The following is a 16,431-nucleotide window of genomic DNA, read 5'->3' as shown; positions in this document are numbered from 1 at the left end:
GTATGACATATATCATATGTGTGTATGTGCGTGTGTACAGAAATTGTATATAAAGTTTTTTAAAAGATTGTTCATCTTGTTCCTCTTTTTTATCCCCATGGTGAATTTGGAGTAAATTTTATCATTTAATCTGGTCATTTTACCCTTAATTTGGATTTGAATGCTATAGCATGTAATGACATAGCTTGTGGGAGCCTTGGTTGGTTCAGAAGCAAAATGGGTTATGTAAAAAGGAAGACTAAAATCAACATAAAAATATGGCCTTCATTTAAAAGTTTTCTTTTGACAATACATGAAGAGTGCACATTTAAAAGTGCTGTAATAATTATTCACTTTCTTTTGATGCTTTGTTTTCTTAGAAAAACCAAGCCCACCTGAAAAACTTGGAGTAACAAGTATATCCAAAGACAGTGTTTCCCTGACCTGGCTGAAGCCTGAACATGATGGCGGAAGCAGAATTGTACACTATGTCGTTGAAGCACTAGAAAAAGGACAGAAAAACTGGGTTAAATGTGCAGTGGCAAAGTCAACCCATCACGTTGTTTCCGGTCTGAGAGAGAATTCTGAATACTTTTTCCGAGTGTTTGCTGAAAATCAAGCTGGCCTGAGTGACCCGAGAGAGCTTCTGCTTCCTGTTCTTATTAAGGAGCAACTAGGTATGTCTAATTTTGTGTAGAAGCAAAATTTGAAATTATTTGCATTGATTTATGTTAATTTTCAGAAACACTTTTTCACTTTCACTTTCTATACTCATTTTTCAGAACCACCTGAAATTGATATGAAGAATTTCCCAAGTCACACTGTATATGTTAGAGCTGGTTCAAACCTTAAAGTTGACATTCCAATCTCTGGAAAACCACTTCCCAAAGTGACCTTATCAAGAGATGGTGTCCCCCTTAAGGCAACCATGAGATTTAATACCGAAATTACTGCTGAGAACCTGACCATCAATCTCAAAGAAAGTGTTACAGCTGACGCTGGGAGATATGAAATCACTGCTGCCAACTCCAGTGGTACAACCAAAGCTTTCATTAACATTGTTGTGCTAGACAGGCCTGGTCCTCCAACTGGCCCTGTTGTTATTAGTGATATAACTGAAGAAAGTGTGACTCTCAAATGGGAGCCACCTAAGTATGACGGTGGAAGTCAAGTTACCAACTACATTCTACTCAAAAGAGAAACAAGTACTGCAGTGTGGACTGAAGTGTCTGCAACAGTTGCAAGAACCATGATGAAAGTCATGAAACTGACCACAGGAGAAGAATACCAATTCCGCATCAAGGCAGAAAACCGCTTTGGCATCAGTGATCATATAGATTCAGCTTGTGTGACTGTCAAACTACCATACAGTAAGTTGTCCAACTTTTCAAAGATCCAGGTTTTCTTTTACCATAAATGTGTTATTGTCTGTACTAATCTATAGGATTTCTCTCTTTTGTAGCAACACCTGGACCACCATCTACACCATGGGTCACTAATGTTACTCGAGAAAGCATCACTGTGGGCTGGCATGAACCAGTGTCAAATGGAGGCAGTGCAGTCGTAGGCTATCACCTGGAAATGAAAGACAGAAACAGTATTTTATGGCAAAAAGCCAACAAACTGGTCATCCGCACAACTCACTTCAAAGTCACAACAATCAGTGCTGGACTTATTTATGAATTCAGGGTGTATGCAGAAAATGCTGCTGGAGTTGGAAAACCTAGCCATCCTTCTGAACCAGTCTTGGCAATTGATGCTTGTGGTACGTATTTGTCATGGGAAGGGCAGTTCTGATAACAAAAATGCAAATCTTACTTCTGCGAAGCAAAATATTATAAGTGCCGCTAATCTGCTTCTCTTATTACCACAGAACCCCCAAGAAATGTTCGTATCACTGATATTTCAAAGAACTCTGTCAGCCTTTCATGGCAACAACCAGCTTTCGATGGAGGTAGCAAGATTACAGGCTACATTGTTGAGAGACGTGACCTTCCAGATGGCAGATGGACCAAGGCCAGCTTCACCAATGTTACTGAAACTCAATTCATCATCTCTGGCTTGACTCAGAATTCCCAGTATGAATTCCGTGTCTTTGCTAGGAATGCTGTTGGTTCCATTAGCAATCCATCTGAGGTTGTAGGGCCCATTACTTGCATCGATTCTTATGGTAAGCATGCTTAGCACTTTGAATCAAAATTGCTATTTAACTCAGTATTTCCGCATACCTTTTCCTGGTTCTAATCCTATAGAATAACTTTTACTCTGTGCCTTAATGGGGTTTTTGGAAGAAATTATGGACTAGCTGGGAGTCTGAGGAAAATTCCTTAAATACCTTTCCAGCCCTCTTGACTTGACTGTAAAGTGAGAGATTTAGACCTCAGGATATCTATGGGCCTTTCCAACTTCAACCTTTTATGATTGATTGTATGAGTTGGTGCTTTCATTCTGTTTTAAATTATCAGAGTCAATAATTAAACCATGGTTGAGTTCCTAGAGAATATTGCTCTTAAATAAGCCACAGACTAAACAGAGACTTCATTTTTTGGTTTTTTTTTTTTTGTTTGTTTGTTTGTTTGTTTGTTTTGAGACAGAGTCTCACTCTGTCGCCCAGGCTGTAGTGCAGTGGCACGGTCTTGGTTCACTGCAACTTCCGCCTCCTGGGCTCAAACGATTCTCGTGCCTCAGTCACCTGAGTAGCTGGGATTACAGGCATGCCCCACCACACCCAGCTAATTTTTTGTATTTTTAGTAGGGACGGAGTTTCACCATGTTGGCCAGGCAGGTCTCAACCTCCTGACCTCAGGTGATCCACCCACCTCGGCCTCCCAAAGTGTTGGGATTACAGGTGTGAGCCACCATGCCTGGTCTAAACACAGACTTTGATGATGATAGTATTAGCAGCAGCTAACATTTATTGAGGAATTTTCATGAATTCTTTCCCTTAGTTCTCACAGCCCTCATATTAGCCATCTTATAGAAGGGAAACTGAGGCTGAGAGTGCTTTTGTAACTTCCCCGTTAGGGATGGAGTGGGAATTCAGACAGACAGACTTCAGAGCCCTCTCTATCATGGTTAGTCCAAAATGCGTATTCTTCACCATTCTGGAAAATAAGTGGCACATTCAACTCAACAATGTTTTGAAAATTAAAACGTCATGAGAGTCAGGTATCCTGTGACACTTTACCTAAAAGATCTCCATTTGCTAAGAGAAAATTGAGCCACTGTAGTGTCTGGGCAAAAGTATCCACTTCCATCTTCATGCTGAGAATCTCAGGGCTGTTCATTATTTATGAATCAGGCTTTGTGGATACTGAATCAGTGTTTATGAGAGTATAAAGCAAGTCGAATTTAGTTATCTTTCTTGATAATTCCAAACAGCATGGCAGAAAATCTGTCCAGTAATTATGTAGCTCTGTGGGTAGAGAATTCAGACTTTAAGTGTCTGACATGAACCATCCACACTTGGATATCAGTGAACTGGGATGGGAAAAGAAAAAGAATAGGAGGTGCGTAGAAGAAAAGGAAAGAAAAGCTAAAGTGAAAGGAAATGTTTTAACAGCTTCTTCCATGATGTTCTCACTACCATATCCCATTTCTTCACTGGAATAAAGCAACTAATGGACTTTAAAACACATGTAAAAGGTGCTTAAGTCCCTGCACAACTCACAGTCTTTCTACCCCATCTGAGATAGAAGAGTGGCCTATAAATTTTTAATTTTTAAATAATAATTGCATAGAATTATAATGATGGTGTGTGTGTATAATTTAATAATGGCCAATGACCTTACTTTAAGGTTGGTGCAACTATTTTTTTTTCCATCCTTATAATATTTTAAATATTTCTCATCTGTTTTTCTTGCAGGTGGTCCTGTAATTGATTTGCCTCTAGAATATACAGAAGTTGTCAAATACAGAGCAGGTACATCTGTGAAGCTCAGAGCTGGCATTTCTGGCAAACCTGCGCCTACTATTGAGTGGTATAAAGATGATAAAGAATTACAAACCAATGCACTGGTGTGTGTTGAAAATACCACGGACCTCGCATCTATACTCATCAAAGATGCCGATCGCCTTAATAGTGGATGCTATGAATTAAAACTAAGGAATGCCATGGGCTCAGCCTCAGCCACCATCAGAGTACAGATCCTTGGTAGGTGCTGAATACAGACCACTGTCATATTACATTTGCCTAAAGCTTAGTAATTTTGAACAAGTAGGCTTTAAAGAAGTACTAACATCGTGTTTTGTCCTTTCACTGATAGACAAACCAGGCCCACCTGGTGGACCAATTGAATTTAAGACTGTAACTGCTGAGAAGATCACCCTTCTCTGGCGGCCTCCAGCTGATGATGGTGGTGCAAAAATCACTCACTACATTGTGGAAAAGCGTGAGACAAGCCGCGTTGTGTGGTCTATGGTGTCTGAACATTTGGAAGAGTGCATCATTACAACCACCAAAATTATCAAAGGAAATGAATACATCTTCCGGGTCCGAGCCGTGAACAAATATGGAATTGGCGAGCCACTGGAATCTGATTCCGTTGTAGCCAAGAACGCATTTGGTGAGACATGATTTCATTAGAAAACTGAAACGTGAAAAATTTAAAAATAAACTACGCTAACCTGTGCATATGCTTTAATTTTCTTTTATATAACACCTGTCTCATTACCATCCTTTTCACAAGGTGAAAAATATAAAAAATAAAACCAATGTTCTTGGAAAGAATGCGAACATCAAAGGTATAATTTATCAGTAATGTGGATTCTTGTACCTTGTTTTCCCTTCCTTTCTAAATAGTTACACCTGGGCCACCAGGCATACCAGAAGTGACAAAGATTACCAAGAATTCGATGACTGTTGTATGGAGCAGGCCAATTGCAGATGGCGGTAGTGATATAAGTGGCTATTTCCTTGAAAAACGAGACAAGAAGAGCCTAGGATGGTTTAAAGTACTAAAAGAGACTATCCGTGACACCAGACAAAAAGTAACAGGACTCACAGAAAACAGTGACTATCAATACAGAGTTTGTGCTGTAAACGCTGCTGGACAGGGTCCATTTTCTGAACCATCTGAATTCTACAAAGCTGCTGATCCTATTGGTAAGTGCTCATACCTGCAGCATCTTCACCTGTGTCTTCTATATTCACCTGTGTGACTAAATTGTACATGATTGTGTAATTATTTTATTGTGAATGGCCATTCCAGATCCTCCAGGTCCACCTGCTAAGATAAGAATCGCAGATTCAACCAAGTCATCCATCACCCTTGGCTGGAGTAAGCCTGTCTATGATGGGGGCAGTGCTGTTACTGGGTATGTTGTCGAGATAAGACAAGGAGAGGAAGAGGAATGGACTACTGTCTCTACCAAAGGAGAGGTCAGAACTACAGAATATGTGGTATCCAACCTGAAACCTGGAGTCAATTACTACTTCCGGGTATCTGCTGTAAACTGTGCTGGACAAGGAGAACCTATAGAAATGAATGAACCTGTACAAGCTAAAGATATACTTGGTATGTACCTACTGGTTTGATTATGTTTTTTAATAAGCATACTTCCAGGAAATCACTCTTTTTTGCTTTTAAAATTCACTGTATGTATCCATTTTATGTCTACAGAGGCACCAGAGATTGACCTGGATGTGGCTCTCAGAACTTCTGTTATTGCCAAAGCTGGTGAAGATGTACAAGTGTTGATTCCCTTTAAAGGCAGACCTCCACCTACTGTCACATGGAGAAAAGATGAGAAGAATCTTGGCAGTGATGCCAGATACAGCATTGAAAACACTGATTCATCCTCATTACTCACCATTCCTCAAGTTACTCGCAATGATACAGGAAAATATATTCTCACAATAGAAAATGGAGTTGGTGAACCTAAGTCTTCAACTGTGAGTGTTAAAGTGCTTGACACACCAGCTGCCTGCCAGAAACTACAGGTTAAACATGTTTCTCGAGGCACAGTCACTTTGCTCTGGGATCCTCCTCTCATTGATGGAGGATCTCCAATAATTAATTATGTCATTGAAAAGAGAGATGCCACCAAGAGAACATGGTCTGTCGTGTCACACAAATGTTCTAGCACATCCTTCAAGCTAATAGATTTGTCGGAGAAGACTCCATTCTTCTTCAGAGTTCTTGCAGAAAATGAAATTGGAATTGGGGAACCCTGTGAAACTACAGAGCCAGTGAAGGCTGCTGAAGTACCAGCTCCTATACGTGATCTCTCAATGAAAGACTCAACAAAGACATCTGTCATCCTCAGCTGGACCAAACCTGACTTTGATGGTGGTAGCGTCATCACAGAATATGTTGTAGAAAGGAAAGGTAAAGGTGAACAGACGTGGTCCCACGCTGGCATAAGTAAGACATGTGAAATTGAGGTTAGCCAACTTAAGGAGCAGTCAGTCCTGGAGTTCAGAGTGTTTGCCAAAAATGAGAAAGGACTGAGTGATCCTGTCACTATTGGGCCAATTACAGTGAAAGAACTTATTATTACACCTGAAGTTGACCTGTCAGATATCCCTGGGGCACAAGTCACTGTGAGAATTGGGCACAATGTGCACCTTGAATTACCTTATAAGGGAAAACCCAAACCATCCATCAGTTGGCTGAAAGATGGCTTGCCACTGAAAGAAAGTGAATTTGTTCGCTTCAGTAAAACTGAAAACAAAATTACTTTGAGTATTAAGAATGCCAAGAAGGAGCATGGAGGAAAATACACTGTTATTCTTGATAATGCAGTGTGTAGAATTGCAGTCCCCATTACAGTCATCACCCTTGGCCCACCATCAAAGCCCAAAGGACCCATTCGATTTGATGAAATCAAGGCTGATAGTGTCATCCTGTCATGGGATGTACCTGAAGATAATGGAGGAGGAGAAATTACTTGTTACAGCATCGAGAAGCGGGAAACTTCACAAACTAACTGGAAGATGGTGTGTTCAAGTGTTGCCAGAACGACTTTCAAAGTTCCTAATCTAGTCAAAGATGCTGAGTACCAGTTTAGAGTGAGAGCAGAAAACAGATACGGAGTCAGCCAACCACTTGTCTCAAGCATTATTGTGGCAAAACACCAGTTCAGGATTCCTGGTCCCCCAGGAAAGCCAGTTATATACAATGTGACTTCTGATGGCATGTCACTAACTTGGGATGCTCCAGTTTATGATGGTGGTTCAGAAGTTACTGGATTCCATGTTGAAAAGAAAGAAAGAAATAGCATCCTCTGGCAAAAAGTTAATACATCACCAATCTCTGGAAGAGAATATAGAGCCACTGGACTGGTAGAAGGTCTGGATTACCAATTCCGTGTATATGCTGAAAATTCTGCTGGCCTAAGCTCACCTAGTGACCCAAGCAAATTTACCTTAGCTGTTTCTCCAGTAGGTAAGTGATTATTATTCAAATACATTTAGTTTAGCAATTGAACATATTAGAAACAAATATATCAAGGAATGCTTTTCTTCTCTGCATCACCTTCTTACATATCTTCTTGTCACTAGAGAACTGGTCATGTAAAGCAAGAGGAATTATTTTAAGTCAGTCTAATAAACTAATTTGAAGTTCATTTTAAAGACTATGAAATGGAAAGTTGAAATTAATGACCAATATGAGTTTGGGAGATTGAATAAATTACTTATTATAAAAATTTTACTTATTTATTAAAATTATAGAATAATTGTATTGTTCTTCCATGGATGATTAAGACCTGGTTACAAATGTAATGATGCATTTACCTTCCTTATAATTTTTTAGACCCACCTGGCACTCCTGACTACATTGATGTCACCCGGGAAACCATCACACTTAAATGGAACCCACCATTGCGTGATGGAGGCAGTAAGATTGTGGGCTATAGCATTGAGAAACGGCAAGGAAATGAACGCTGGGTGAGATGCAACTTTACTGACGTCAGTGAATGTCAGTACACAGTTACAGGACTCAGTCCTGGGGATCGCTATGAGTTCAGAATAATTGCAAGAAATGCTGTTGGAACTATAAGCCCGCCCTCACAGTCTTCTGGCATTATTATGACAAGAGATGAAAATGGTAAGCATTTACAACTTATTTCCAATGAGACTAAGAGCATTCACATTTTTAAAAAACACATTTGGCCCCTGGCCTGTAAAATGGTAACAGAAACAAATTACCCAAGGTTGCTAAGTGGATGAATTATGTCTTTCTACCTTTCAGATGAAAAGAAGAAAAAAATAATTGGCATCAATTATTTTTTCTATTATTTCACTCCATTCCCATATAAAGAGCATGCAGCAAGTGGGAATGAGTTTTTAGCTTTGTAATTTTCGCCACTTAACAGTACATAAAGAAAAGGTTCTCGAGAATAAGTGTCCATCTTTACTGAAGTTATTAAAATACAACATACATCCAACAACACAATCATCCCCTTGCTTGAATGCAGCTGATGGCCTCTTAAAAGAACTTGTGTGACTGTGCAGCAGTATTAGGAAGTACATGATCTGTAAATGTTTCACTTTCCTTTTTACAAAGAGCAATGCAAAATTAAAAACATGACAGGCATTACAAAGGGAATAATAATAGGCAAATATTTAACCCCATAGTCCAAATTCTCAATTATCAATCCTACTTTCAAAATAGGCTTTGGTAGCACAGTAGAAGTCACTACTCTTCCTGGCCTTGTGATATGGCACTACTGAAAAATATATATTTATGTATGTCTTTATTAAGCCAAACTAATACATAGTATTTCTCTTTCTTTTATAGTTCCACCAATAGTAGAGTTTGGCCCTGAATACTTTGATGGTCTCATTATTAAGTCCGGAGAGAGCCTTAGAATTAAAGCTTTGGTACAAGGAAGACCAGTGCCTCGAGTAACTTGGTTCAAAGATGGAGTGGAAATCGAAAAGAGGATGAATATGGAAATAACCGACGTACTTGGATCCACCAGCCTATTTGTTAGAGATGCTACTCGGGACCATCGTGGTGTATACACAGTGGAAGCCAAAAATGCATCTGGTTCTGCAAAAGCAGAAATTAAAGTGAAAGTACAAGGTACTTTTAAAATAGCTTCTTAATGCTACAATTTATGAACTTGGATTAGAGACATGCCTAGTTGTATTTTAATGGACAAGGAAAAAGAAACTAACTCTAGAAACTTTTTCTTATAGATACACCAGGAAAAGTAGTTGGGCCAATAAGATTCACCAATATTACTGGGGAGAAGATGACTCTGTGGTGGGATGCCCCACTCAATGACGGTTGTGCTCCCATAACCCACTACATCATTGAAAAACGGGAAACCAGCAGACTTGCCTGGGCACTAATTGAGGATAAATGTGAAGCCCAAAGTTACACTGCCATTAAACTAATAAACGGCAATGAATACCAATTCCGTGTTTCTGCAGTTAACAAGTTTGGTGTTGGCAGGCCACTTGATTCTGATCCAGTGGTTGCTCAAATACAATATAGTAAGTTTGCGTTTTTACTAAGCGGTACTATGTCAAAAGTTTAACCTTCCAAGCAAATGCATCTAATTGATTTGGGGTTTTGTTTTTGTTTTACAGCTGTTCCTGATGCCCCTGGCATTCCAGAACCTAGCAACATAACAGGCAACAGCATTACCCTGACATGGGCAAGGCCAGAATCAGATGGTGGCAGTGAAATTCAACAGTATATCCTTGAAAGAAGAGAAAAGAAAAGCACAAGATGGGTAAAAGTGATCAGCAAACGACCAATCTCTGAAACAAGATTCAAAGTCACTGGTCTGACAGAAGGCAATGAGTATGAATTCCATGTCATGGCTGAAAATGCTGCAGGAGTTGGACCTGCAAGTGGCATCTCAAGACTCATTAAATGTAGAGAGCCCGTCAACCCACCAGGTCCTCCCACAGTGGTCAAAGTAACAGACACATCAAAGACAACTGTGAGCTTAGAATGGTCCAAACCAGTGTTTGATGGTGGCATGGAAATAATTGGGTATATTATTGAAATGTGTAAGGCCGACTTAGGAGACTGGCACAAGGTGAATGCAGAGGCATGTGTGAAAACAAGATATACAGTCACTGATCTACAAGCAGGTGAAGAATACAAATTCCGAGTTAGTGCTATCAATGGTGCTGGAAAAGGCGACAGCTGTGAAGTGACTGGCACAATTAAAGCAGTTGACCGGTTAACAGCTCCTGAGTTAGACATAGATGCAAACTTCAAACAGACTCATGTTGTTAGAGCTGGGGCCAGTATTCGCCTCTTCATTGCCTACCAAGGTAGACCTACTCCTACAGCTGTGTGGAGCAAACCAGACTCTAACCTTAGCCTTCGGGCTGATATCCATACAACAGATTCCTTCAGCACCCTCACTGTGGAAAACTGCAACAGAAATGATGCAGGGAAATATACCCTTACTGTGGAAAACAACAGTGGTAGTAAGTCAATCACATTCACCGTGAAAGTGCTAGACACTCCAGGCCCACCTGGCCCAATTACCTTCAAAGATGTGACCCGGGGATCTGCTACATTGATGTGGGATGCCCCTCTTCTTGACGGTGGTGCCCGAATCCATCATTATGTGGTAGAGAAACGAGAGGCAAGTCGCCGTAGTTGGCAGGTTATCAGTGAAAAATGCACTCGTCAGATCTTCAAGGTCAATGACCTGGCCGAAGGTGTTCCGTACTATTTCCGTGTTTCTGCAGTAAATGAGTATGGTGTTGGTGAGCCCTATGAAATGCCAGAACCAATTGTAGCCACAGAACAGCCTGCTCCACCTAGGAGACTTGATGTTGTTGATACTAGCAAATCCTCCGCAGTCTTAGCTTGGCTTAAACCTGACCACGATGGAGGCAGCCGGATCACTGGCTACCTGCTTGAAATGAGACAAAAGGGATCTGACTTCTGGGTTGAAGCTGGTCACACCAAACAGCTAACTTTCACAGTAGAGCGTCTTGTTGAGAAAACTGAATATGAATTCCGTGTGAAGGCCAAGAATGATGCTGGCTATAGTGAACCCAGAGAAGCCTTCTCTTCTGTCATCATTAAGGAGCCTCAAATCGAGCCCACTGCTGACCTCACTGGAATTACCAATCAGCTTATAACTTGCAAAGCAGGAAGCCCATTTACCATTGACGTACCAATCAGTGGTCGTCCTGCCCCCAAAGTAACATGGAAACTGGAAGAAATGAGACTTAAAGAGACAGATCGAGTGAGCATTACAACAACAAAAGACAGAACCACACTGACTGTAAAGGACAGCATGAGAGGTGACTCTGGAAGATACTTCTTGACCCTGGAAAATACAGCTGGTGTTAAAACATTTAGCGTCACAGTTGTGGTCATTGGAAGGCCAGGTCCAGTAACCGGCCCCATTGAGGTCTCATCTGTCTCAGCTGAATCGTGTGTCCTGTCATGGGGAGAACCTAAAGATGGAGGAGGCACTGAAATTACTAATTACATAGTTGAAAAGCGTGAATCGGGTACAACAGCTTGGCAGCTTGTCAATTCCAGTGTCAAGCGCACTCAAATTAAAGTCACTCATCTCACAAAATACATGGAATATTCTTTCCGTGTCAGTTCAGAGAACAGATTTGGTGTCAGCAAACCTCTAGAATCAGCACCAATAATTGCTGAACATCCATTTGGTAAGAAAAATAAAAATCCTATTTCAAAGTCTCTATTATTAAATGTTTCCCCTGAATTTTATAAAATTGTATTCATACTTAATACCTTTGTTTATATTTAGTCCCACCAAGCGCTCCTACCAGACCTGAGGTCTACCATGTGTCTGCCAATGCCATGTCTATTCGTTGGGAAGAACCCTACCACGATGGTGGCAGTAAAATCATTGGCTACTGGGTTGAGAAGAAAGAACGTAATACAATTCTTTGGGTGAAAGAAAACAAAGTGCCATGCTTAGAGTGCAACTACAAAGTAACTGGTTTAGTAGAAGGACTGGAATATCAGTTCAGAACTTATGCACTCAATGCTGCAGGTGTTAGCAAGGCCAGCGAAGCTTCAAGACCTATAATGGCTCAAAATCCAGTTGGTATGTATCACAATTTAAGGGCATATTTGTTTATTATTACTGATTCTAGTAGAACTCAGAGTGGTATATTTTAACCTTATTTTTGCATCCCTTCCAGATGCACCAGGCAGACCAGAGGTGACAGATGTCACAAGATCAACAGTATCACTGATTTGGTCTGCCCCAGCGTATGATGGAGGCAGCAAGGTTGTGGGCTACATCATAGAGCGTAAGCCAGTCAGTGAGGTAGGAGATGGTCGCTGGCTGAAGTGCAACTACACCATTGTATCTGACAATTTCTTCACCGTGACTGCTCTCAGTGAAGGAGACACTTATGAGTTCCGTGTGTTAGCCAAGAATGCAGCAGGCGTAATTAGCAAAGGGTCTGAATCTACAGGCCCTGTCACTTGCCGAGATGAATACGGTAGGAAATAGTCAACATTCTCCTTTTTAAAATTATCTCAATTTATGTGAAAATAAACTCTCAGATATTCATTCATATCTGTTTTGCCTACTGACAGCTCCACCCAAAGCCGAACTGGATGCCCGATTACACGGTGATCTGGTTACCATCAGAGCAGGTTCTGATCTTGTTCTGGATGCTGCAGTTGGTGGCAAACCTGAACCCAAAATTATCTGGACCAAAGGAGACAAGGAGCTAGATCTCTGTGAAAAAGTCTCTTTGCAGTATACTGGCAAACGAGCAACTGCTGTGATCAAGTTCTGTGACAGAAGTGACAGTGGAAAATACACTTTAACAGTGAAAAATGCCAGCGGGACCAAGGCCGTGTCTGTCATGGTCAAAGTGCTTGGTAAGCATGTCAAATGTTCTCACATTTATATAGCATTTTCCAGTGTGGGCAGAAAGAATGATCTTCATCATGGCTTGTCATTACACCTGTTTCAGATTCCCCTGGCCCATGTGGAAAGCTCACCGTCAGCAGAGTAACACAGGAGAAGTGCACTTTAGCCTGGAGCCTTCCGCAGGAAGACGGAGGAGCAGAAATCACTCACTACATCGTGGAAAGACGCGAGACTAGCAGGCTCAACTGGGTGATTGTTGAAGGCGAATGCCCAACCCTATCCTATGTCGTTACCAGGCTCATCAAGAACAATGAGTACATATTCCGAGTGAGGGCAGTAAACAAATATGGCCCTGGTGTGCCTGTTGAATCAGAGCCAATTGTAGCCAGAAACTCATTCAGTAAGTATTAACACTTTTAAATAATTTGACAGTTGAAATGTAATAGAATCAGGGGGAGAAGGGAGAAGGGCAGTCTTATCAATAGTAATTTTGTGCAATTCTCATCATCCTTATTTTCATAAACAGCTATTCCATCACCACCCGGCATACCTGAAGAAGTTGGGACTGGCAAAGAGCATATCATCATTCAGTGGACAAAACCTGAATCTGATGGTGGCAATGAAATCAGCAACTACCTAGTAGACAAACGTGAGAAGAAGAGCCTGCGCTGGACACGTGTCAACAAAGACTATGTGGTGTATGATACCAGGCTGAAGGTGACCAGCCTGATGGAGGGTTGTGATTACCAGTTCCGGGTGACCGCAGTGAATGCAGCTGGTAACAGTGAGCCCAGCGAAGCTTCCAACTTCATCTCATGCAGAGAACCATCATGTGAGCTCCAAGAATCATACATAAATACAATGCTCCTCAAAACTATATGACAGATAATTTTCCAACACACAATCTCTAAGAATTTTTAGAATTTATGAATGGTCTAGAAAAGCACATGCTTATTTGCATGATCATAAATATAGCTTAAGTCAGAGAACATTTTAACTATTACATCTGTTAAGTTAGCAATTAGAATTGCTAAAAGTTGTACAGCATTTTCCAATTAATGAAAAAATATTCTATCAATATGAAAAGAATCTATTTTATAAATTTTCCTTAGAGAAAAATGCATTGTACTGTAATAACTGAAAAGAAAAATGGCAAAACTCCTTTTAAGAAGAGGTTTAGCAGGAACATACAGTTTCTAGTGGTTTCATAAGTTACTGACAAAGTAATTGTGACAAGAGCTTCAAAAATAAGTGGCAAATCCTTTTACAGAGTCTGAGCCCAAGAACTATAAAGGAATAGTCACTGGGACTGAATTGGGGAAGCTAAGGAAACCAATTCTTGTATTCATTAGAAATGTATTGGTGGCAAGTGATACTAACCCAGTGAAAGATAAGCAACTAAAGAAAAGTCCCTAAGAATGGGTACTTTAAGTAATGAGCTTAGCTAATAGAGAACACACAGTAAAGCTGGCCAAAGAAGTAGGGAAGAAATATCTACTTTCCTAAAGCAATTTAATTCTTAAGATAATAATATTAAATTATAATGTGGCACTCTGTGCTGTCCTATAATATCAGGAGCCCAGTTAATAAAGATTATCTTGGTGAGTGTGGACAAGAGCAATAATGCCTTTGTGAGTCTTGAAAACAAAAAATACAAATCTCAACATTTCCTTATTTGCCTAATATCTGCATCTCACTTTTTAAATTCCACAGATACCCCTGGACCACCTTCTGCTCCAAGAGTTGTGGATACCACCAAACACAGCATTAGTTTGGCATGGACCAAACCCATGTACGATGGTGGTACTGACATTGTAGGATATGTTCTGGAAATGCAAGAGAAGGACACTGATCAGTGGTACCGAGTGCATACCAATGCCACAATAAGAAATACTGAATTCACTGTGCCAGACCTTAAAATGGGCCAGAAATATTCCTTCAGAGTTGCTGCCGTGAACGTGAAGGGTATGAGCGAATACAGCGAATCAATTGCTGAAATTGAGCCCGTGGAAAGAATAGGTATTTATCACAGAAGCTTTTAGGTGAATTATTTTCTTCTCACACCTGTCCATGAATTAATTAAATTTTGTCATTAACTTTCCAGAAATACCAGATCTTGAGCTTGCAGATGATCTAAAGAAGACTGTGACCATCAGGGCTGGGGCCTCCTTGCGCTTGATGGTGTCTGTATCTGGAAGACCACCTCCTGTCATAACGTGGAGCAAGCAGGGCATTGACCTTGCAAGCCGGGCAATTATTGACACCACTGAGAGCTACTCATTGCTAATAGTGGACAAAGTTAATCGGTACGATGCTGGAAAATACACAATTGAAGCTGAAAACCAATCTGGCAAGAAATCAGCAACAGTCCTTGTTAAAGTCTATGGTAAGCATTTTACTTAAAATTGGCTATACAATGAGTAGATCCTCTAAAACAATATAGCTTGACCTATGATTGATCACCTCTCTAGAAAGGAACTATGTTGATTATATTTCCCCAAGAAAAAAAAAGCTATCAGGCAAATAGGAAATATGAATCTTTCATTCTGTTTTTCAGATACTCCTGGTCCCTGTCCTTCAGTGAAAGTTAAGGAAGTATCAAGAGATTCTGTGACTATAACTTGGGAAATTCCCACGATTGATGGTGGAGCTCCAGTCAACAATTACATCGTTGAGAAGCGTGAAGCTGCTATGAGAGCATTCAAAACAGTAACTACCAAATGCAGCAAGACACTTTACAGAATTTCTGGACTTGTAGAAGGAACCATGTACTATTTCAGAGTGCTGCCAGAAAATATTTATGGCATTGGAGAACCTTGTGAAACATCTGATGCAGTACTGGTCTCAGAAGTGCCTTTGGTGCCTGCAAAGCTAGAAGTGGTCGATGTCACCAAATCCACTGTTACCCTTGCCTGGGAAAAACCACTCTACGATGGTGGTAGCCGACTCACTGGATATGTTCTCGAGGCCTGCAAAGCTGGCACAGAGAGATGGATGAAGGTTGTCACCTTAAAACCCACAGTCCTAGAGCACACTGTTACTTCCTTAAATGAAGGTGAACAATACTTATTTAGAATAAGGGCACAAAATGAGAAAGGTGTGTCAGAACCAAGAGAGACTGTCACAGCCGTGACTGTACAAGACCTCAGAGGTATGTACCAAATAGCCAAAAAAAAAAAAAAAGTAAAGTAAAATGAAAACATTCAGAATTCGTAACAATTTACCATAAAAATAATGCTTAAGAATAAATGCCTGATTTCTTTCCCATAGTGTTGCCAACAATCGATCTTTCTACAATGCCTCAGAAGACCATCCATGTCCCAGCTGGCAGACCAGTAGAGCTGGTGATACCTATTGCTGGCCGTCCACCTCCTGCTGCTTCCTGGTTCTTTGCTGGTTCTAAACTGAGAGAATCAGAGCGTGTCACAGTTGAAACTCACACTAAAGTAGCTAAATTAACCATCCGTGAAACCACTATCAGAGATACTGGAGAATACACACTTGAATTGAAGAATGTTACCGGAACTACTTCAGAAACCATTAAAGTTATCATTCTTGGTAAGGATGTGTGACAAAGATACAAGCAAGTTGATGTTCAGTCACCCAATTTTGATTTGAAGTAAAAATTAATTTCCTGTATTTCTTCTCTTTCAT

At 40.5% G+C, this 16,431-nt stretch overlaps 1 protein-coding gene and 1 long non-coding RNA gene across 23 annotated transcripts in view, besides 2 other annotated features; one reads left to right on the top strand and one right to left on the bottom strand.

Annotated features, from left to right (window-relative positions):
• TTN-AS1 (TTN antisense RNA 1) overlaps positions 1 to 16,431 on the bottom strand; it is a 97,391-nt gene that overhangs the window by 61,221 nt on the left and 19,739 nt on the right. The window lies entirely within an intron of this gene.
• The window catches only part of TTN (titin), a 281,435-nt gene that overhangs the window by 248,427 nt on the left and 16,577 nt on the right, over positions 1 to 16,431 (top strand). For all 21 annotated transcript variants that reach the window (NM_003319.4, NM_133437.4, NM_133432.3 and 18 more), the window contains 22 exons: positions 360 to 656; positions 762 to 1,349; positions 1,442 to 1,744; positions 1,853 to 2,149; positions 3,845 to 4,132; positions 4,245 to 4,544; positions 4,781 to 5,083; positions 5,190 to 5,495; positions 5,601 to 7,367; positions 7,737 to 8,030; positions 8,724 to 9,011; positions 9,128 to 9,427; positions 9,524 to 11,590; positions 11,692 to 11,994; positions 12,092 to 12,397; positions 12,495 to 12,785; positions 12,881 to 13,177; positions 13,304 to 13,609; positions 14,491 to 14,796; positions 14,882 to 15,163; positions 15,335 to 15,928; positions 16,048 to 16,335. In NM_003319.4, the coding sequence (NP_003310.4) occupies positions 360 to 656; positions 762 to 1,349; positions 1,442 to 1,744; positions 1,853 to 2,149; positions 3,845 to 4,132; positions 4,245 to 4,544; positions 4,781 to 5,083; positions 5,190 to 5,495; positions 5,601 to 7,367; positions 7,737 to 8,030; positions 8,724 to 9,011; positions 9,128 to 9,427; positions 9,524 to 11,590; positions 11,692 to 11,994; positions 12,092 to 12,397; positions 12,495 to 12,785; positions 12,881 to 13,177; positions 13,304 to 13,609; positions 14,491 to 14,796; positions 14,882 to 15,163; positions 15,335 to 15,928; positions 16,048 to 16,335 (10,371 nt within the window). The remainder of the gene's footprint in view (positions 1 to 359; positions 657 to 761; positions 1,350 to 1,441; positions 1,745 to 1,852; positions 2,150 to 3,844; positions 4,133 to 4,244; positions 4,545 to 4,780; positions 5,084 to 5,189; positions 5,496 to 5,600; positions 7,368 to 7,736; positions 8,031 to 8,723; positions 9,012 to 9,127; positions 9,428 to 9,523; positions 11,591 to 11,691; positions 11,995 to 12,091; positions 12,398 to 12,494; positions 12,786 to 12,880; positions 13,178 to 13,303; positions 13,610 to 14,490; positions 14,797 to 14,881; positions 15,164 to 15,334; positions 15,929 to 16,047; positions 16,336 to 16,431) is intronic.
• Positions 14,895 to 16,094: an enhancer, noted in NCBI's record as "CDK7 strongly-dependent group 2 enhancer chr2:179407630-179408829 (GRCh37/hg19 assembly coordinates)". NCBI's record gives its function as "activates an origin of replication core promoter dependent on BRD2, BRD4, P300/CBP, MED14 and CDK7 cofactors, with strong dependence on CDK7, by STARR-seq in HCT116 cells {active_cell/tissue: HCT116}" and the evidence as "EXISTENCE:reporter gene assay evidence [ECO:0000049][PMID:35650434]".
• Positions 16,307 to 16,356: an enhancer, noted in NCBI's record as "active region_16811". NCBI's record gives its function as "activates an Ori minimal core promoter by ATAC-STARR-seq in GM12878 lymphoblastoid cells {active_cell/tissue: GM12878}" and the evidence as "EXISTENCE:reporter gene assay evidence [ECO:0000049][PMID:35858748]".

The sequence above is a fragment of the Homo sapiens genome, chromosome 2, assembly GCF_000001405.40.
Source record: "Homo sapiens chromosome 2, GRCh38.p14 Primary Assembly".
NCBI classification, from domain to species: domain Eukaryota; kingdom Metazoa; phylum Chordata; class Mammalia; order Primates; family Hominidae; genus Homo; species Homo sapiens.
The sequence above is the reverse complement of the archived record's forward strand: the minus strand, read 5'-3'. Positions and strand labels throughout refer to the sequence as shown.